This window comes from Homo sapiens, chromosome 11 (genome assembly GCF_000001405.40).
Source record: "Homo sapiens chromosome 11, GRCh38.p14 Primary Assembly".
NCBI lineage: Eukaryota > Metazoa > Chordata > Mammalia > Primates > Hominidae > Homo > Homo sapiens.
The window spans coordinates 9,874,107-9,896,034 of NC_000011.10; the positions used below are offsets into that span (position 1 = coordinate 9,874,107).

A 21,928-nucleotide genomic window follows, 5' to 3' on the forward strand; every position below is an offset into this window, starting at 1 on the left:
GTTTAAATCCTCTCATTAAATCTGCATGATATTATTACTATCTTAGAGACTAATGACAAAGAGAATCTAGAAAAAAACATAATTAGGAAGCTCTCATTCTAAGTCATTTTTAACTTGAATTTTTATTGCCAAGTACATAATAGTGAATCTAAGTAAAAACTTATTCCTTACACTATTTTCTACTTCTTACTAGATGAAGGCAGAAATCACAGTACTACTGAATTACAGTTTTATAGTATGTCTCTTCTTTCCTTAGTTTCTATCTACTCAACTTTTCCAGAGACCCCTAAAAAAATTATCAGAGATACAAAAAGCAAAGTCTTAAAAGCATTTCCTATAAACAAGAAAATCAATATCTTTTAGGGGCCCAATTTTCCAAATTTCACTGACATTTTGACTAAAAAGCTTAAGACTCTTGTCAATGACCAAATAAAGACTCAAATTGTAGGATGCCTCCATGATATAGTCAACTGTGGGTGCATTTAAACTGTAACTGTTACTTCAGTGCCTACACTTTCTAAGGGTTTTATTTTGATGCTGTGGTCTTCTGAGAATGAGTGACAGCCAGCCAGTGTGATTCACTGAGGTACTGCCTACACAAATTAGAGGCTACAAAGCAGTAAATATGGGGCTGGGCCTTGAAGAGGCTCTGACTTACAGAATATTATTGGATAAGTCACCTAAGCTCCTAGCTTAAGTTTATTATTAAAATAACACCTCTTGACTTGCATGTACATCTGCTAAAAGTAGACTAACCTATCAACCTTGAAGAGCCAATAGTACAAAAAGTTAAAATGTTATATGAAGAGAAAGGAGACCAACCTATTATTGGAAGAAAAACAGCATTGTAAGCTGATTATAAGAACATTTATTTATTGAGGAGAAATATGCCTCTGTTACTGAGGAAAACAGCTCTTCAACTTATAGACTGTATTTATTTTGGAAAGATTGATTAAGACTGAGCCTCTAGAATGAGAGACAAGCTGTTTACCTAGTGGCCATTTCCCAGGAAGAATTATCTATCAAATCATATAGACTGGGTCACAAAGTTCTCCAAGTATTTGCATGGTTAAGCCAATAATTATGCCTAGAATTCTAGAAAATGAGTAAACAGCAGTAATTATCTGGTTAAAAATAACCAAGACAGATCCAGTGCTAAGAATAAATAGCTATAAAGTTACATTAAACTGTTCTAGGACTGCAGATGGTTTTCAAGCTCCAGAGGATCATTTCTCACTTCTAAGGCTTCTAGGAACATCATAAAATCCACCTTCCTCCTACCCACGAGCTCCTCTTTTTATTAATGTCTAGTGGTTTGCTATTTATGTTTCATTTGTACAGTTTAAGGCCTACTTCCTAATACAAAACAAATGTTACTGCAGGCCTGAGGATACCTTTACCTAATTGTCCATAACCGAATATGAAAGAAGGCTTTGGGATTAAGTTTCCATAACAGGATAGAAAGACCAGTTGTGAGGGAAATGAAGTCAAAAGCAGGAGAAAATAACAGGGCCAGTGAAGTGGAAAAAAGGGTGTGGAACAAGGCAGGGTCAGCCATATATCTTCTCTATTTGCCTGGTCAATCCTCCCTGCAAGGTCCAGTTTGGGTGCTTGGAATATGCTGAATAAGCTTCCCAATTCATGGAGGGGTAGGAGAAATTGAAATTCAACTTAGGAAGCCAAAATAGATTTTTCTGCCTATTATCAAAAATTTGCAGAAGCTGCACATCTGCTGGTGTGAGACACAAATGTGAAAGTATGCAGGCACACACAAACACATAACACTCGTTAAACTTAAATCACTTAACTTGTTATTAAGTGTAAACTCACTGAGTTAGAATAAACCTCAGAGATTTTTTTTTTTTCACTAATACATGGGAACGCCAAGATAAACGGAAGAAAAGAAACATAACAAAGGTCATACAGCTAGACGGAGCAGTGCTGAAGCCAGCATCAGATGTTTTATAAGGTATTAAACGATCTGGTCACATCCTCCCTTTCTCAACTTCCTGAATACTATTCACTCCTGTAGGTGTATCCCACAGTTGAACGAGTTGAATGCTCTGTGTACTAAACATACTCTTTGCTTTCTCCCTGCCATGACATTGGTCAAGCTGTTTCATCTACTTGGAATCCCTCCTTCCAATCTCTAGTGGTTAAAATCCATTCTCCAAGGGCCTATTCAGATGATACCTCTTTCAAAATGCCCTCCCTGTTTGCTCTCTCTTTATTTACTATGTGTTATAAACTGAATGTTTGTGTCCCCCTTAAATTCATATGTTGAAACCCTATCTCCATCCAGCGTGCCCATATTTGTAGTAAGGAAGTAATTAAGGTTATATGAGGTCATAAGGGTGAGGCCCTGATCCAACAGGATTAGTATCCTGAGATAGAGAGCTTGTTCTTGCTCTTGCTCTCTCTCTCCCTCTCTCCCCACTGCCCCACGTTCTGAAGAAAGGCCACGTGACATAGTGATAAGGCAGCCATCTGCAACCCAGAAAGAAAGCCGTTCCCAGAAAGTGAATTGGCTGGAACTTTGATCTTGAGAAAATAAATTTCTGTTGTTAAAATATCCACTCTGTGGTATTTCGATATGGCAGCCTAAGCAGACTATGACACTATCTTAAGTAGAACTTTGTTGTTGTTGTTTTGAGATGGAGTCTTGCTCTGTTACCCAGGCTAGAGTGCAGTGGGGCAATCTCGGCTCACTGCAACCTCTGCCTCCTTGGTTCAACAATTCTCCTGCCTCAGCCTCCTGAGTAGCTGGGATTACAGGCGCCCACCACCATCCCCAGCTAAATTTTGTATTTTTAGTAAAGACAGGGTTTCACCATGTTGGCCAGGCTGCTCTCAAACTCCTGACCTCGAGCAATCCACCCACCTCGGCCTCCCAAAGTGTTGGGATTACAGGCGTGAGCCACTATGCCTGGCCTAGAACTTTGTTTATACTTCTTTAACAATTATTTCATTCTATTTTGTATTACATTTAGGACAGTTTTTTGCTCTAGAATGTGCTGAAATGCTATGCTACAACCTTCCTTAGGCTTGATACAAGATAAAATAGCAGCCATAATAACAATACAAAGTATTAGTATTTCTATGACAACAATGATGATCAAGGTAGAGTTTTTAAAAAATAAATAATACTCTACCGTTTTATAAGGAAATGTATTATATGAAGTAAGTTCCTGTGTTGTTCCTATTTTTGTATGCTCATTAAGAGATAATATTTTTAAAATGCCAACAATTAGGTTTTAAAAACTAAACATGAAATCATTAATTAAACCTAAATAATTTTTTAAAATTATACTTTAAGTTCTAGGGTACATGTGCACAATGTGCAGGTTTGTTACCCAGGTATACATGTGCCATGTTGGTTTGCTGCACCCATCAACTCGTCATTTACATCAGGTATTTCTCCTAATGCTATCCCTACCCCAATCCCCAACCCCCCGACAGGCCCCAGTGTGTGACGTTCCCTGCCCTGTGTCCAAGTGTTTTCACTGTTCAATCCTCACCTATGAGTGAGAACATGCGGTGTTTGGTTTTCTGCTCTTGCGATAGTTTGCTGAGAATGATGGTTTCCAGCTTCATCCATGTCCCTGCAAATGACATGAACGCATCCTTTTTTATGGCTGCACAGTATTCCATGGTGTTTATGTGCCACATTTTCTTAATCCAACCTATCATTGATGGACATTTGGGTTGGTTTCAAGTCTTTGCTATTGTGTATAGTGCCACAATAAATTTACGTGTGCATGTGTCTTTATAGCAGCATGATTTATAATCCTTTGGGTATATACCCAGTAATGGGATCACTGGGTCAAATGGTATTTCTAGTTCTAGATCCCTAAGGAATCACCACACTGTCTTCCACAATGGTTGAACTCATTTACACTCCCACCAACAGTGTAAAAGCATTCCTATTTCTCCACATCCGCTCCAGCATCTGTTGTTTCCTGACTTTTTAATGACCGCCATTCTAACTGGCATGAGATGGTATCTCATTGTGGTTTTGATTTGCATTTCTCTGATGACCAATGATGATGAGCATTTTTTCATGTGTCTGTTGGCTGCATAAATGTCTTCTTTTGAGAAGTGTCTGTTCATATCCTTTGCCCACTTTTTGATGGGGTTGTTTTTTTCTCGTAAATTTCTTTAAGTTCTTTGTGGATTCTGGATATTAGTCCTTTGTCAGATGAGCAGATTGCAAAAATTTCCTCCCATTCCGTAGGTTGCCTGTTCACTCTGATGGTAGTTTCTTCTGCCGTGCAGAACCTCTTTAGTTTAATTAGATCCCATTTGTCTATTTTGGCTTTTGTTGCCATTGCTTTTGGTGTTTTAGTCATGAAGTCCTTGCCCATGCCAATGGCCTGAATGGTATTGCCTAGGTTTTCTTCTAGGGTTTTTATGAATTAAACCTAAATAATTTAAAAAAATCTGTGTACATATAGTCTGTCTCTTAATAGCCTTTGAGGGCAGAGACCATGTCTTGCACATCTTGGCATCAATTCAAATGCTAGGTTAAAGCATCTTAAATATAGGTACTGGAGGTACACACAATGCTTGTTAAATTCCAAAAGGTTAATTACATATTTCCCAGAGGCTTGCTTCTAAGATTATAATTTTAATTCTAATTTTATTAGCTGGAAATGTCACCCAAGAGTATAATAAAACCAGCTAACTCCACAGTCATTCAAGATGGCTCTCTGACTTCTTCCAGGTAATCTCCTGCTATCAGTACTGAAACATGCCTATGACCGAGGGTTAAGCTCATGCTTTCATCTCCCCAACACTTAAAACTCCCTCTGAAAGTGACCCCTCTTTATCTTTACGTCTCTCTTATCATGTAAAAATCTATCAGTGACAAAGAGGAACAACTGCAAAGCTGCAGAAATTAAAAACAGACCTTTTGACTTAGGTACAAAATGTTTGCACTTTGGACATAAAGGGAATTTGCTGAGTTACTGAATCAAGTATTTATAGCACCACATAATTGATTTTCTGCCATAATAATTTCTTCTGTAATTTAGCAGCTCCTCCACAAATCCCCATCAAATCTATGACTTCTCAAAAATGCTAACAATGCTGGCTAATACAAAGGAAACAGTGCCACCTAAGCAAAATTAAACTAGAATAATAATCTATTCATAAAGTTCTTTTTAGGGACACATAGTTATTAAAATCTTTGCTTTTGTTATTCACGAGTCATGAGTTTTGCATTTTCCATTCTTTTCTCAATTATGTTATTAGGCTGTATCTTATCAAAAGTATTCTAATTCCTATCTTCAGGCTACAAAGTCCTTGCCCTAAATGAAAATATTAGAGTCCACTAAAAACCAACATAATCAAGTATGCCCTGTGACTTCCAACCCCAAAAGTGGAGGATGCTGACATGCATCATCATCGGTTTTGCCATTTGCCAGCTGGAGGACCTGGGCTAAGCTTGGTGAGCATAGGGACTGTGTCTGTTTTATTTGTCAATGTATATCCAGTGACTGGTGAAGCAGACATTCAATTTATAGTTGAATTCATGTCCTGTCTTTCATTCAACAAATATTCGCTGTGCACGTACTATATGCCAGGCACTAGGTTAGGTGCTTTACATGAATAATTTCATCTTTAGTTATCACCATTTTAGAGTAGAAGAATAAAAGTTCAGACAGTTAAACATTTGTTTCAGATCTCAGGATGAGGCCAGGCTTGGTGGTTAGTGTCTGTAATCCCAGCACTTTGGGAGGCCAAGATGGGCGGATCACTTGAGGTCAGGAGTTCAAGACTGCCCTGGCCAATGTGGCAAAACTCCGTCTTCACTAAAAATACAAAAATTAGCTGGGTGTGGTGGTGCACACCGGTATTCCCAGCTACTCGGGAGGCTGAGGCAGGAGAATTGCTTGAACCTGGGATGTGGAGGTTGCAGTGAGATGAGATCGTGCCACTGCACTCCAGCCTGGACAATGAGTGAGACTCTGTCTCATAAAAAAAAAAAAAAAAAAAAAAAAAAAGATCTCAGGATGAGCCAAGATTCAAATCCAGATCTTTCTGTGGCCCCAGAGTTCAGGCCTTTTCCTTACTATACCACACAACAACAATTCACAATCAGAAGCTAAAAGCTGGAGGTTGTGAAGCTTGCATGTTATTAACTATATCTGGCTGAGTATGTGTTTTGTTTTGGCTGTCTAGGATTTTTGAAAAATGAAGCCAACATTTTAAACTGAAGAGGTTTTACATACAATCTAAATTTCGCGCTTCTTTTGAAAAGCCTAAAGATGTGGTAGCAATGTTCCTACATCCCTGTATGGCAACAACTGCTGAAGCTAAGCAGAGGCTGCCCCTTAGATGGGACATGTGCTCTTCATGTGGCCTGCTAACTCATTTGCGTTATTTGTTTGGCCCCTGTAGATTTGGTTTGTAACTTCTGCTACCTCTATGTGGATCTCTAAGTACCCTCATCAGTGCTTGTCTATTATACTAGCCTACTAAGTGGCCTCTGTTGCTCTAACCCCTCATCTTCCTATCTTCTACACTGCTCTAGTTTGTTTCTGAAACAATCACGTCACTGCCCTACTCAAGAGTATGGTATTACGTACTCCTTAGTGACCAGAGAATAATATTAGTCTAAACTCCTTAACATGACATTCTAGACATTCTGTGATTTGATTTCAAATTACTTTTCCTGTCATATTTTCCTTGTCTAATGACTGCATGGATTGCAGCTATCCTAGAAGGGGGTGTCTAGTAGCCTGCTACAAAATTCTGCCCCTGTCAGCATTTTAATCAATGGCTTGGATCACAAGAAATATGATTTTCAAATTTAAGAAGGAGGAAAAGGAAACCTATAATTTATTTATATCCAGCCTCAGAAATGCATGCCTTAATCCTTTTACTGCCTACAGAAGACTCTGGCAAGTGCTTAACAAAAAGATCTGGAGTCAATGGTGGTTTTAAGATTATGTACAAGCCACTCACAGAGATACTAGTGCTCCTTTGCCCTTTTATAGCATAAAAAGGCATTTTTGGATATAGAATCTCATTTCTTCAAGTCCAACAACAAAAATAGGATGATAGATAAAATATTTAAATGAACCGAATGAGTGATTAAATAAAGTAAGAATTGTATTTGGACAGAAAGCTCTTGGCACAGCAGTGATACCTAAGGATAAATTATAACCATGAACATTTTTCAGAATTCCAAAGATGTGTTCAGCACTCTGCTGGGGGCTGGGATGGTGATTCTAAAATGTACTATCACATATGAGGCTCAAAACGCTGGGGTGAAGCCAGTGAAACTGATAACACAGTTGTTTTAGGAAGAACGAGTAACTGTTAATTGTTACACGCATCTCATCTCTCATAACTACAGAGAGAGTTAAGCTATAAAAATTTAGTTTATTAATTCCAAATAAGGGGAAACTGTCCAGATACTTTTCCCCCGCCTTAATCCTTCTAGAGGATTCAAATCTCACTCCTGGTGGACTGATTTCTCATGATAACACTTTGGCATGGAGCATGCCCAGAGTTCAGCTGCAAGGCACTTCCCAGAAGTCATGTCAGCTTCAGCTAGCCTTCTTGGATGGAAAAGAGAACAGATTTTAGCTTTGGCCAAGTAGAGTCTCTACAACACTCCCCATCCCCCCCCAATTAAACAAATAAAGTTGATTTTGTAAGGAAAACAATAAAAGCCTGGGCAACATAGCAAAACCCCATCTCTAAAAAAAATAAGAAGAAGAAATAGGCTGGGCGTGGTGGTGCACACCTGTGGTCCCAGCTACTAAAGAGGCTGAGGTAGCAGGATCCCTTGAGACCAGGAGTTTGAGGCTGCAGTGAGCCATGATTTTGCCACTGCACTTCAGCCTAGGTGATAGAGTGAGACCTTGTGTTTAAAAAAAGAAAAATAAAGCACAAATGTGTTGTTTTTCCACAGCTCTCCTTGTAACACCACAGATCTTTACACAACATAATGAGTCAAGTTGTTAAACATGCAATTCGGAAAACAGTTACTTAGTAAAGAGACAACAATTCCAGACCAATACAAATGTCACCTTAACTTGAAAGACAGCAAAAATGCAAGCAGTCACCAGACAACATTTCAGAAAATGTATCCTAGGGCTTGCTTGAGTGAAAACAAACCTCTTCATAATTTTTTAACCTTGAAAACTCTGCATTTGTACTTTTGTTGTTTTTAGAAAATTTCCTACAAAATTCACAAGATTAGGATGAAGCCAGTAAAATTTTTATTGTTACCATGAGGAAGAATAATTGTTAATGGTGACACAATATCCTAAATCACAGAAGGTATACAATTGTCTAACTTCAGCAGATATCTGTAATATGTAATTTAGTGTTGAACCACTGATTTGCACTTCCATACAGTTCTGTTTTTGTGAAACTTCTGATACAGTGCTTAAACATAACTTCTCGGCCGGGCATGGTGGCTCATGTCTGTAATCCCAGCACTTTGGGAGGCCAAGGCGGGCGGATCACAAAGTCAGGAGATCGAGACCATCCTGGCTAACACGGTGAAACCCCGTCTCTACTAAAAATACTAAAATTAGCTGGGCGCGGTGGCAGGCGCCTGTAATCCCAGCTACTTGGGAGGCTGAGGCAGGAGAATCACTTGTACCCAGGAGGGTGGAGGTTGCAGCGAGCTGAGATTGCGGTACTGCACTCCAGCCTGGGTGACAGAGTCAAAAAAAAAAAAAAAAAAAAAAAAACCACCAAAAAAAACCCATTATCTTCTCTTGCACTAATCAATATTTCTTTTAAGCCATACTTCACTACAAACTTAATAAAATATCGTTTAATTCACATTGCTTCTCTTGCCCAAGCACCTAAAATAGCTATCTATTAGCCTGGGCAACATGGTAAAATACAACAATTAGCCAGATGTGGTGGCACACTCCTGTAATTCCAGCTACTAGGGAAGCTGAGGTGGGAGGATTGCTTGAACTCAGGAAGCGGAGGTTGCAGTGAGCCGAGATTATGCCTCTGCACTCCAGTCTGGGCGACAGAGCGAGACTCTGTCTCAAAAAAACAAAAACAGACACACAAAAAAGCTCCCTATTGATCACATATCTGGATTTTACAACCTGGCATCAAAGATCTGCATAATAATGGCAATATTAGCTAAGATGTCAATAGCACTTACTATGTACCAGTATTTCTACCATCTATTGCTGTGTGGAAAAAAAAAACAGCCAAAACTTAGTGGCTTAAAAACAACCACTGTATTTTTTTATTTTAAATTGATTAAAATAAATTTATACCCAGGACATAGCAGAGGACTGCAGGTGCCTCCTCCAGCTCTGTCCCCCAAAACAACCATTTTATTACCTCTCACTAGTCTATGGATTGACTGATGGTTAAGGGAATAGGTTCTGAAATCAGACTAACTCTCAAGGTTATGATTGTGAGGATTAAATCCTCACGTGTGTATGTGAAGTGTTTAGCATAGTATCTGGTACCTAGGAAGTGTTCAGTCAATGCTGGGCATCATTATTATTATATTTTATGAGTTATTTTTCCTAAACTCAATGATAATAAATCACAAGTTCCTCAAAGGCAGAGGCTAGGTCTTCGATGTTGAGGTTCCTCATTTAGACTACCAAAGGGTTCTTAACACAAGAAAGAGCTGAATAAATACTTTTGATTTGAATCAACAGGTGTGATAAATTAAAAATAAGTATCCCTCATTTTTCATTAAGCTTTTAGAACCCTAAACTTACAGACCTGAAAAAAAGGGGCCCTAAGTTATTTTTTGGAGGCTAGAATCTCCAAGCACTCCCCCACGCCAGCCTGGAGAGTACTGTCTTTATAACCAGTGTCTACTGGTGAAGTATGACATTAAGCTGTATTAGACATCATCAGCATTTACACAGAAGTGAATGACAGACTCTTAGGGTTCTGAGACTCTTGAATACTTCTGGAATTTTTAAGACACTGATGGCTTCAGCCCCAGAGATTTTGTTTTCAACTACCCTTTGATGGAGGCTTTGCATCTGTTGTCTTTAAAAGCACTCCAGGTGATTCTAATGTGCAGCAGAGTTAAGAATCATGGGTCCAGGTCAAAGGATTAGAGCCCATATTGAGCAATAACAGATCTGAAATCAGGAGACCTGGGCTCTTGTATTGAATACTGGATCATCAATTCAATTCAAGAAACTGTTTTTGTGAAATGCTCTATGCTAGATACCATAACATGAAGAATGAGGAGCCAATAATCTGGACCTTTAGTTTTTGAGTCTGATCATTTAAAGATGGGAGTGGTTTTCCTACTTTTAAAAAAAATGTGGTTTTAGCTTTTAAAAATGAAATCTTACATATAAGTTCAATATATGTAAAAGAAACAAAAGGAAAGCAGGTTGGCATTAGGAATTCCTACTATACTGCATTAGCCTTCCCCCTGCTTTTCTCCATTGGAAGCTGACTCTAACTGCATTTTCCTCCTACAGTTTTGGTGGCGTACTTTCTCCTTATCCTAAGGTTGCAAATTTCACTTTTCTTGGAGCACAACGGAAGAGAAGTCAAGCATTTGCCACAGAGCTGTGGGTGCACAAAATACTCATGCTGACTAGAACCTTGGCTCAGAAGAGTCCCTATCTGCTCAAGTCTTATGGGAGGCACTGTAGTTTGTACCATTTCTGACTTTCTGCTTAGACTCTCCCATGTGTTTTCTGGGCTAAATTAGTCACTCTTCTCCAATTGTTCCAAGTAATATTCTGGGAAAGGAAAACCTAACAAAATAACTTAAATATTCAATCATGTAAACACATTCTCAACATTTCATGGAAACAATCTAAGGCAGTAAATCCATAAACCAAAGAAAGCTTTCTGGGACCTAGACATTCAAATAGTGTAATTATGGCCTGGCATGGTGGCTCACGCCTGTAATCTCAGCACTTTGGGAGACTGAGGCGGACGGATCACTTGAGGTCAGGAGTTCGAGACTAGCCTGGCCAACATGGTAAAACCCTGTCTCTACTAAAAATACAAAAATTAGCTGAGCGTGGTGGTAGGCGCCTATAATCCCAGCTACTCAGGAAGCTGAGGCAGGAGAATCACTTGAACCCGGGAGGCGGAGGCTGCAGTGAGCTCAGATTGCACCACTGCACTCTGGCCTGGGGGATAGGGTGAAACTTTTCCTCCAAAAAAAAAAAAAAAAAAAAAAAAACCCCACCCCCCCAAAAAAAACCCAGTGTAATTACTTCCCATTATTGAACATGATGTCAATACTCTTCAGTGGCTCATGACGAACTCTTCATTGTATTATTTGAAAATTTAAAAATATTATTAAAAACTTAAATCTATATTGTCTAATACTTTCTTCCAACCCTCACGTTGCCCACGAACAAAACTCTTTCAAGTCTAGGTCTGTATACTTCACGATCTTTTCTTCTTCAAGTTTTACAAGACATAAGACAGTGGGTAGAAACAGCAATAATCTTACTGGTTCTGAGAAAAATCACAGTAGACATTAAAGCTTGCTAGTTCCTTTTTTGGTTTAGTGGGGACACTTTATATTATATTCTATACATGGTGATAGCAAAGTAAGAAGAGGTATACTTTTGGAAGAAATCTATTTTTTTTCTGGAAGATGAAAAATTTCAATAAAAATTTTTACGTTTTTATTAAGTTATTCTGTTGTAAAAATTTTATTTTTAAATGTGTATGTCAGGAATTATTTGATGGTCCTGGAATCCTCCTGCAATAGGGTCCAGGATGATTGTTTCCAAGGCAGAAACAGAATTGAAACAGACTCACACAGGACAACCTCCGTAGCGTTGCCCCCCAATCTTCTGGCATGACTTTCTAGGAGATGGGATGCGTTCTCCCTTCAGTACGATCTTGGCCTTCACCTCCTACTGTCTCAGAATTAGAAGAGAGGGCATTGTTCCTTTTGTCAAACACATGGTCCCTTTACCTGTTTGTGGGAGGTGTTACAATCTTCTAAAAAGAAAATGTACTTGGAGGGGCCAACAGAAATAATCAAATTCCATGCTACTGTAGAATAAATTAGAGGCTGGCTCAGTCATAATTATGTTTCCTTTCTCACTGTTTTCTTGCAAAATAAATGATCAATTGATTTTTAATGGCACTACATAACCTACTAAAGACTGCTCAAATTAGCAACTTTCTTTTAACTTCTATTCCAAAGTAGAAATTCTGCAACTTCACCTGATCTTCACATGATTCTCCTGTGCTGTCTCATTCTTTAGCTTTTCTTCATTTTGTTATTCCATAGATTTTTTTTCCATGTTTCTGACCTCTATTCTTTTTTTTCTCTTCTTCCAACAGAGTTCTGTAATCATCTCTCTGTAGAAGCCTCTTGTATTTATATTTGTAGCTGGACTTATCTTTCAAGTTAAAATTCTGCAATTTTCCTTGTTTTCTGGACAGATCCACATAGAAGTCCAAGCTACGGGTAGCCTGTAGTTCTTTGGTTTTAGTTTTATTATTAATAATTAGGAAATCTTTAAAAAGTGGATTTCTGCCTCTTTTTTTTTGAGACGAAGTCTCGCTCTGGAGTGCAGTAGCACCATCGTGTTCCTTCTGCCTCCATTTCCAGTCACAATTCCCAGTAAGTGATTCATGTGTTTTTTTTTTGCCTATAATATTTATGTCATCTCATACTTCACCCACTCTTTATCTCATTCCCACCTGCAAGATAAATGCTCATTTATCATTCATGGGCACACATGTCACAATTTTTGGGGGCTGTTCCTCCTTGGGTCACCAGGAACTAATGTATTCTTACAGTACTTAGATTGTATCTGTTTTAGAATACACATGCTATAATTTGTTTGACTAATCTATCTTCTCTGTAAGCGTGTGTATTTAAGGTTGGAGATTTTGACTTGTTGGCTTTTGTAGTCCTAATACTCAGGACGTGGTAGCATAGGACATCAATGTCTACTGAACTGAACTGTACTATATTTCTTTTGGAGTAGACAAAGAAATAGTCTTAGTAGGCTGCCTCATTTTTCTGAAGAATGAACAAAAGGGTCCAAACCTTTTTTTCATCATATAAAAAAAAATTGTCCATCACATGAAAAAAGTTAATTATCATTCAAAAAAAGTTGATAAGTTCAGAAAAATATTTCATAAAATTAAAAATTAGTAATTATTATAAAAATAAATTTAATAAGATTAAAAATACTGTTAATTATTCACTGAAGAACACAATAAGTGTTCTAGAGCTTCTGAGTAAATTGCCCCAGTTTCCTTCTATCACTAGTTTAAATAGTATATATAAACTAATCTTAATAAAGAACATTAGTTCTAAACTAATTATAATAATTCATAGTTTCTCAGAAGCAGAAGTTTTTCAGGAGCAGTAGGATAGAGGAACAGTTTTTCAAAACTAGAAAGGAAAAGTGGGAGAAGCCAGGAGAGGTTGTGCTGAAAGGGAAGAGGAGGAGGAGGAATGCTAAACTGTCTTAAAGAACAAGAAGAAAATGAAGGGAGGAAATAAAAGCAAGACACTAATTCTCTGACCATTCTAAAATTCTGCTGTGCTGGAAAGATGTGCTGTAATAAACACATTCACATCTTTTCCAGGCCAAATGTGGATTCAGCCAGCACTGATGCTTGTCTTCACTCTCAAACATTTTTCTGCTGACTAATTTATTTTTAAGATTAATATTTGGTTTACAGCAGAAAAAAACGATGAAAAAAAACCCTTCATCACCCACTCCCTCCCCTATCTTTTTTTTTTGTGGTCAAAAATATAATCCCTTGAGACCTATTGTAGGAAATGCGATGTATCCAGATCACGAAGTCTGAAAAAAAACAAAATCCTTTTCCTATTTTGTAAATTTTTGAGACCTCTTATCATTTACCAATTAAAAGTGATGACTTAGGAAATATCTATTTTTTATATTTCTATAAGATTTTTCTTCTAGCCACAATCTCAATACTATGAAAGTCGGCATATTTGTATTCCATCAGAATTACCTACAAACTCTCGTATCTATAGAAGGACAATCAGGATCCATATTAATTACTAAGGCAAAGCCAGTATTCAAGGAACTTCTGAATTATTAGTGAAATACAAAAGTGTATTTAGTGTAATTTTGAAAACTATGTTCCCTATTAGAAATACGTGAAAATGGCCAGGCATGGTGGTTCATACCTATAACTCCAACACTTGGGGAAGCCAAGGGGGAGGATCACTTGAGCCCAGGAGTTTGAGACCAGCCTGGGCAATACAGTGAGATGTCATCTCTACAAAAGAAAAAAATTTTTTTAAATTAGCTGTGTGTGGTGGTGCATGCTTGCAGTCCTGCTACTGAGGAGGCTGAGGTGGGAGGATTGCTTAAGCCCAGGAGGTGGAGGTTGCAGTGAGCTGAGATGGCATCACTGTACTCCAGCTTGGGCAACAGAGCTAAAAACCAGTCTCAAAAAAAAAAAAGAGAAATATATGAATATTTGAAACTTATAAATAATACTATGTAACGATTAAAGGGTAAACCATAACAACTTGACTTTGCCCCCTCTAAGCCAAAACTTAATGAAGTATCCTTGCTGGTTATATGTGTGAAAATGCCTGAAGAAATTAGAGGGCAGGAGTGATGTCAACTCAGTATCTCTAAGCAAAAAGATTAAAAAAAAAGTTTCTAGAGGTATGCTTCATAAATTGGAACTCATTTGAAGAACTCTATTATAGTTAAAGAACTTGAGGTTTGAAATCAGACAGAATTGAGTGAGTCCTGTTCTGACATTTACTAGCTAGGTAGTATAGATTCTTTCCAAGCCACATTTCCTTCACCTTAAAATGGAATAAAATTTCACTGGGTTAGATTAGGTACTGCAAGTCAAACGTAGCATCTTGTATATAGTAAAAGTTCAGTAAATATTAGCTCTCTTTATTATTCCTATCACCTGCCTCTGGACTCCCATTCTTTACTGTGTTCTGTTAGGTAAATGAACTTACATGAGAAACACCAGGCTTTGACATGAAAAACACAGATTTTACTTTACTCATGTTAGGGAGTATCGGCTGGGGGAATACCTAGAGTCTGATGGTGGCAGGAAGGTCACCACTTAGCTAGCTCAGGAAATGCTGTGACTCTCTGCACTTTAATGTCACCAACTGATTAGGTCAGTTAGATTTACACAAATGACACAAGTGACTTTTCTAACTGCTTCTCTGATTAGGTAAGTTAGATTCATACAAATGACACAGATTACTTTTTCCAGGTAGACTTTCCTATTACCCTACCCTGAATTTACTTGCCATGGGCTTTCATATTTTGAAATGGAAATAATAACTAGGTCTAAAAATTTTATTTACAGCCAGATAAACCTGTGGGTCTTTACGTAGAATGTATAAGCCAAAGTTAAAATTCAGCAATAAAGAAATTAAATAACTATAAAATCAGGTAGAAATGTAAATTTATATTTCTTTAAACTGAGGAGTCATGTTGTACATCTCACATTTTTTCCTAATATATTTATAAGAGAATTAGTTTAATTGTATATTATATACTGAATTAGACACATTTTGAAATAATACAGGTTACCTAAGCACTCCAGGTGTGGAAAATTCTTAATAATTAGCAGTCTTAACGAAATCTTCTAACAACATGGGTGAGCCTCAAAACCTTTATGCTCAGTGAGAAAAGCAACACACAAAAGAACATATATTGTATGATTCCCTTTAAATAAAATGTCTAGAGAAGACATATTTATAGAGACAGAAAGCAGATTAGTGGTTGCCTGGGGATGGGGAGCAACTGAGAATGGGCATAAGGTTTCTTTTTGGGGTGACAGAAATGTTCTACCTATTTATTTATTTATTTCTATTTTTTATTTTTGAGACGGAGTCTCACTTTGTCACCCAGGCTGGAGTGCAATGGCGTAATCTCGGCTAACTGCAACCTCCACCTCCCAGGTTCAACAGATTCTTCTGTCTCGGCCTCCCAAGTAACTGGGACTACAGAAGTGTGCCACCATGCCCAGCTAATTTTTGTATTTTTAGTAGAGATGGAGGTTTCGCTATGTTGGCCAGGCTGGACTTGAACTCCTGACCTCAGGTGATCCAACTGCCTCGGCCTCCCGAAGTGCTGGGATTACAGGCATGAACCATCACTCCTGGCCTATTTATTTATTTATTTATTTACTTACTTATTTTTGTTTTTGAGAAATGTTCTAAAATTAGACTGTGGTGATGGTTTTACCACTCTGTAAAACACTAAAATTACTAATACACACACTTAAGATGGGTGAATTTTATGATATATAAATTATACTTCAATAATCTTCTTCAAACAAATCTTTTGAATGGCTAGATACTAGAAAATAAATTTTTAAATGTTGAATGGAGAATTTTGAAGAAAAAATATGTTTCTCCTGAGAATGAGTGTCTGAATAACGCTCTTATTCTGAAGTAAGACCTAACTCAATCAATAAAACTTCCTCAAATGCCAACTACATGTGGAGGATCTTTAGAATCTGGAAAGGCTTCACTTCAGGATGATTGCACTTAAGGTGAATAGGGTATTTATTTTTCCTCCCAGGGTAAACACAGGCTATAAGGGTACCAAAGGAGAAAGTGTTAGCTCTCCTGGGAGTCATTTTGAGTATCAATAACCAACAGATGTGCCTCAAAGAAGTAATGGGACGGCTTTGCCATATTTTGACAGATTCCAGGAAACCCTTTGGAATACCCTGGTTATTAAGAACCACAACAGGGTGACCCTGAGGTGCATGGGTCACTGGAGAGAAGGCATTAAGTTAAAGGTGGCAGCCGGGTGTGGTGGCTCACACCTGTAATCCCAGCACTTTGGGAGGTCGAGACAGGTGGATCACCTGAGGTCAGGAGTTCAAGACCAGCCTGGCCAACGTGGTGAATCCCCATCTCTACGGTAAAAATGCAAAAATTAGCCGGGCGTGGTGGTGGGCACCTGTAATCCCGGCTACTCGGGAGGCTGAGGTGGGAGAATCGCTTGAACCCAGGAGGTAGAGGTTGCAGTGAGCTGAGATTGCACCACTGCACTCCAGCCTGGGCGAAAAGAGCAAAACTCCATCTCAAAAAAAAAAAAAAGTTAAATGGTGGCTTGTGGTGAAGGGGCCATGACTTTCACTGTTGCTCACTGCTATTGTTGGGAAGGAATAATACAAAAGTATGCTACTGTGGTTCTATTTCTGCTCTACTGGGTTTTACTTTATTATTTTCCTTCTAAAAAAGTAACCTTTAGACATGAACCCCTGCTTTACATATTCTCAGTATACACTCTGGCTCTGAATTTAATAAACATAATCTTTAAATGCAAAGGGCATAAGTAAATCAATGAGTAGCCCAATGTTATTATTCATCAACTTTGAAACGATTCCTCTACTGTCAACAGCTGATCAATGGATATGAAAGGCCATTAGTATGTGTCGTGAGGGTAAGGGATTATGTGTTACTAATCTGTGATTACTCTGAAACAGATATAAGCACAGGGCTTGGCATAGCTAATAAATTGAAATCGAAAATGAAAGTACCATATAAACAACAAACATAAGTATAAAAGATTACATTATTTTTCACAGTAAAAGTAATCCTAAGAATTTAAACCTGGCTGTTAAGGTACCACCTTCAAAGAAGGCTTCCGTAAGAGTTAATGAATTACATGTTACTTAGTAAAAGTGGAAAGAAGTAAGAAGGAACTGTAGGCTTACAATCCAGGGGAAAAAATAATTTGTGGTGGCTGTCGCATGACAAATTCCAAAGGATCTAAGACAGGCGATGTTACAAGTGGGAAACCTTGAACACTCTGACACTAAATAAAACTCTAAAAGATAAACATAACCTTTCATCTGGGCTAATGAAATATCCTGCTCATATGAGAATAGTAGGTACATATATACCATCTTTTCATTACAAATATAAATGGATTAATTAAAAATAATTAGGTATATGTGCTATTATGAGAGGATGACCAAGATGTACCACTAAGTGAAAGAATCAAGGTGTGAAAATAGAGTAAATGGTTTGTTTTTGTTAAAAACGATACTTTTAAAAAAAATTATTTTTATTTTTATTTTGAGACATAGTCTTGCTCTGTCACCCAGGCTGGAGTGCAGTGGCGTGATCTCGGCTCACTGCAGCCTCTGCCTCCTGAGTTCAAGTGATTCTCCTTCCCCAGCCTCCTGAGTAGCTGGGACTATAGGCACACTCCACCATGGCTGGCTGATTTTTGTATTTTTAGTAGAGATGGGGTTTCACCATGTTGGCCAGGCTGGTCTCGAACTCCTGGCCTCAAGTGATCCACCACCAAAAAAAAGAAAATTTTTATCTGCATGTGCTGGCAGTAATGCGTGACTCTTCCCTGGCCCCTGACCCTCATTCCCACTCCTTTTCCCCAGGAAGGAAACCAATGGTTCAGAGGAAATGGGGTGAAGGTGGAAAAGGGAACTTTTACTTTGCATTTTGTTCCTTTCTGTACTATCTGGAAAATATATATATATATATAATTTTTTTTTTTTAGACGGAGTTTTGCTCTTGTTGCCCAGGCTGGAGTACAATGGTGCGCTCTCGGTTCATGGCAACCTCCGCCTCCAAGGTTCAAGCAATTCTCCTGCCACAGCCTCTCAAGTAGCTGGGATTACAGGCATACGCCACCACGCCCGGCTAATTTCGTATTTTTAGTAGAGATGGGGATTCTCCATGTTGGTCAGGCTGGTCTTCAACTCCCAACCTCAGGTGATCCGCCCGCCTCGGCCTCCCAAAGTTTTGGGATTACAGGCATGAGCCACCGTACCCGGTATATACATAACTTTTACTTAAGATAATGTCCATCTGGTTGGTGGCATTGTGGACCAGTTTGATTTTTAAAAATTATCTGCAGTATTAGACTATTAATATAAGTTCCTAGGGACCATGTCAATGTTTTATTAATGTTGCTGCCCAGATGTTGCCTGTTATAGTAGCTTTTTATATTGAGATACTCAATAAACTTTTGTTCCACTGAAAAAAATTAATAATGTTATTTAAAGTATTTTAAAAGTAAGTTTAAACAAGACAAGCAGCTGAGTCCATTCTCTGAAGCAATGCTGGCAAGACCCAGGAATTTATACTGGCTGGACAGTATGAGGATGGCTAATTTGCAATTTGTGCCCAGGAATATGTAATTTACATCTACTTCCTGAATTAACAAATCTAATATGCACTAGAAATAATTTTCCAAAGGGTAAAGATTTAGAAAATATCCGAGAATCCGTGTGATCTACCTTACCTAACCCCTCTGTTATCAATGCAGTACTTCTTTCTTCCAAATCTATCCTTCTCTGTCTTGCTTTGTGATACTGGAACTGGCCCTTATAAACATTTCTCCTTTGCCAAAATGCAGAATATTAAGCTTTGCCAGTAAAGGTGCTGAAGGAACACTGCAGTAGAAAGTGTATTCTCTTCCTAGTTCTGGTGTACTTTCTCCTTCTTGCTCCTGTGGTAAGCACCTAATGGTGGTGTGTGGGACCACAGTGGCAGTGCTATCTATAAAGTTTCAGTGGTACCCCAGGTGGTAGCTTCCTATCAAGTTTCACTAGCACCCTAGAAGTTTCACGGCCATCCTAGTGGGGGGCTTCCTAGCAAGTCTTGCCAGCACTCCAGCAGGCAGTTTACTGCTTGCCAGTTCTGGTCTCTTGAAATTCGATGCCATCCAGTGGCCACAACACCTCTCCAACATGATCTGAATCAGCCTAGATCTGGGAAGGGGCTCTCTTCCAAGTTTGCTTCTTTGTTAGGTAGTATGCCTGAGCCCTAGAGGTAGTAGTTGCTCCCTATATTTTATTCCTGCATTCTTACGAATTCTCTTTACCTCTTAGTAGTTAATCCCCTATTACTACTTAATAACTCCTTATATTAAAATTTCTGGTCAGGCGTGGTGGCTCACCACTGTAATCGCAGCACTTTGTGAGGCCAAAGTGGGCAGACAGCTTGAGTCTAGGAATTTGAGACCAGCCTGGGCAACATGATGAAACTCTGTCTCTACAAAAAAATACAAAAATCAGCCAGGCGTGGTGGCTCACCCCTGTAATTGCAGCACTTTGGGAGGCCAAGGTGGGCAGACAGCTTGAGTCTAGGAATTTTAGACCAGCCTGGGCAACATGGTGAAACTCTGTCTCTACAAAAAAATACAAAAAATCTGCTGGACATGGTGGTTCACACCTGTAATCCCAGCACTTTGGGAGGCCAAGGCAGGCGGATCACAAGGTCAGGAGATCAAGACCATTCTGGCCAACACGGTGAAACCCTGTCTCTACTAAAAACACAAAAATTAGCTGGGTGTGGTGGCACGTGCCTGTAGTCCCACCTACTCGGGAGGCTGAGGCAGGAGAATCACTTGAACCTGGGAGGTGGAGGTTGCAGCGAGCTGAAATCGCGCCACTACACTCTAGCCTGGGCGACAGAGCGAGACCCTGTCACAAAAAAAGAAAAAAAAAATTAGCTGGGTGTGGTGGTGTGTGCCTGTAGTTCCAGCTACTTGGGAGGCTGAGATGGGAGGATCACTTGAGCCCAGGAGGCAGAGGCTGTAGGGAGCTAAGATTGTGCCACTGCACTACAGCCTGGGCAACAGAGTGAAACACTGCCTCAAAAAAATAAAAATAGGCCAGGCGCAGTAGCTCATGCCTGTAATCCCAGCACTTTGGGAGGCCGAGGCAGGTGGATCACCTGAGGTCAGGAGTTTGAGACCAGCCTGACCAACATGGTGAAACCCCATTTCTACTAAAAATACAAAAACTCAGCCAAGTGTGGTGGTACATGCCTATAACCCCAGCCACTTGGGCAACTGAGGCAGGAGAATCACTTGAACATGGGAGGAGGAGGTTGCAATGAGCCGAGATTGAGCCATTGCACTCTAGCCTGGGCAACAAGAGCTAAAACTCTGTCTCAATAAATAAATAAATAAAAATAAAACAAAATTTCTCTGTTCAAATTACTGGTGTGGTTTCTGGCTCCTGACTAGACCTTGACTGATTCATCCCTAAACCAAAATAACCCAAAACAAACTCATCCAACAACAAACCATGCCAACCACAAAAAATCAAATCTAAGCCCACCACTAAAACCTATGTATGATTAATCTGCTAACACAGAGAAACAGTATGGCAGTTACCAAACTTGTTAACTTATTGCTTCCTGAAGCTGACTGTGCATGTAGCTGAATAGTAAGTCAGCTGCTACCACAGATTTACTGTTTATGATTGCATATTTCAGAAGGATGTATTAAATGCATTGTTCTGAGTGTGGGTGGTTATCTAATTCTTTACAAGTCCTTCACGGGAAAAGAAATTTGCTGGTTTTTTCTGCCATAAGAATGAATCTATTTATGAAAAAGCATAGATATAACTGTAGTAAGTGACAGAATTTTAAAAAATCACTGTGAACATTCCAGAAAGTTCTCAGAAGGTTCGCAGAAATTACCAGTAAAGTTAAACTCTAATTTCTGGCTTCAATGTCATTCATTCAATAAATATTTACTGAGTGGCCCTGGGACATAGCAGTAAAGAGGACAGACAATATTCCAGCCTCATGAAATTTACTTTCTGTGATGGGGAAAAAACATGTAAACAAACCAATATGCAACATAAATTCAGGTGTTATGAAGTACTATAAAGAAAATTAAGGAAAAGGATGTAACGGGTGTGGGTGGTATTTTAGGAGATGATTTAGTGTTCTATATTAAATTTCCTACACATAGCATGCAATAAATGTTATAATAAATATAACCGCAGATATATCTTAGGCATGCTACTAAGAGGACAGGATTTTCATGTAGTTCCATAATAAATCAAACTGAATACATTTATGTAAATCATAACAAGCTTATATATGGACCAATGAAACTTACCCTATAGAAAGCACTGGTCAAAGGGAGTAATGCTGCGGCAATGTTGTATTCTTCTAAACTTGAACAATCCTTTAAGCAAAACAAAGACAAAA

At 38.7% G+C, this 21,928-nt stretch overlaps 1 protein-coding gene and 1 long non-coding RNA gene across 12 annotated transcripts in view, besides 2 other annotated features; one reads left to right on the forward strand and one right to left on the reverse strand.

The window, feature by feature from the left end:
* The window catches only part of SBF2 (SET binding factor 2), a 526,174-nt gene that overhangs the window by 95,439 nt on the left and 408,807 nt on the right, over window positions 1–21,928 (reverse strand). For all 11 annotated transcript variants that reach the window (NM_001425069.1, NM_001425070.1, NM_001424318.1 and 8 more), the window contains one exon: window positions 21,837–21,905. In NM_001425069.1, coding sequence (NP_001411998.1) covers window positions 21,837–21,905 — 69 coding nt within the window. The remainder of the gene's footprint in view (window positions 1–21,836; window positions 21,906–21,928) is intronic.
* LOC101928008 (uncharacterized) overlaps window positions 1–21,928 on the forward strand; it is a 90,122-nt gene that overhangs the window by 34,965 nt on the left and 33,229 nt on the right. The window lies entirely within an intron of this gene.
* Window positions 19,537–20,037: an enhancer, noted in NCBI's record as "H3K27ac hESC enhancer chr11:9915190-9915690 (GRCh37/hg19 assembly coordinates)". NCBI's record gives its function as "activates a minimal SCP1, AML or CMV promoter by ChIP-STARR-seq in primed H9 embryonic stem cells {active_cell/tissue: H9 hESC(primed)}" and the evidence as "EXISTENCE:reporter gene assay evidence [ECO:0000049][PMID:30033119]".
* Window positions 20,038–20,538: an enhancer, noted in NCBI's record as "H3K27ac hESC enhancer chr11:9915691-9916191 (GRCh37/hg19 assembly coordinates)". NCBI's record gives its function as "activates a minimal SCP1, AML or CMV promoter by ChIP-STARR-seq in primed H9 embryonic stem cells {active_cell/tissue: H9 hESC(primed)}" and the evidence as "EXISTENCE:reporter gene assay evidence [ECO:0000049][PMID:30033119]".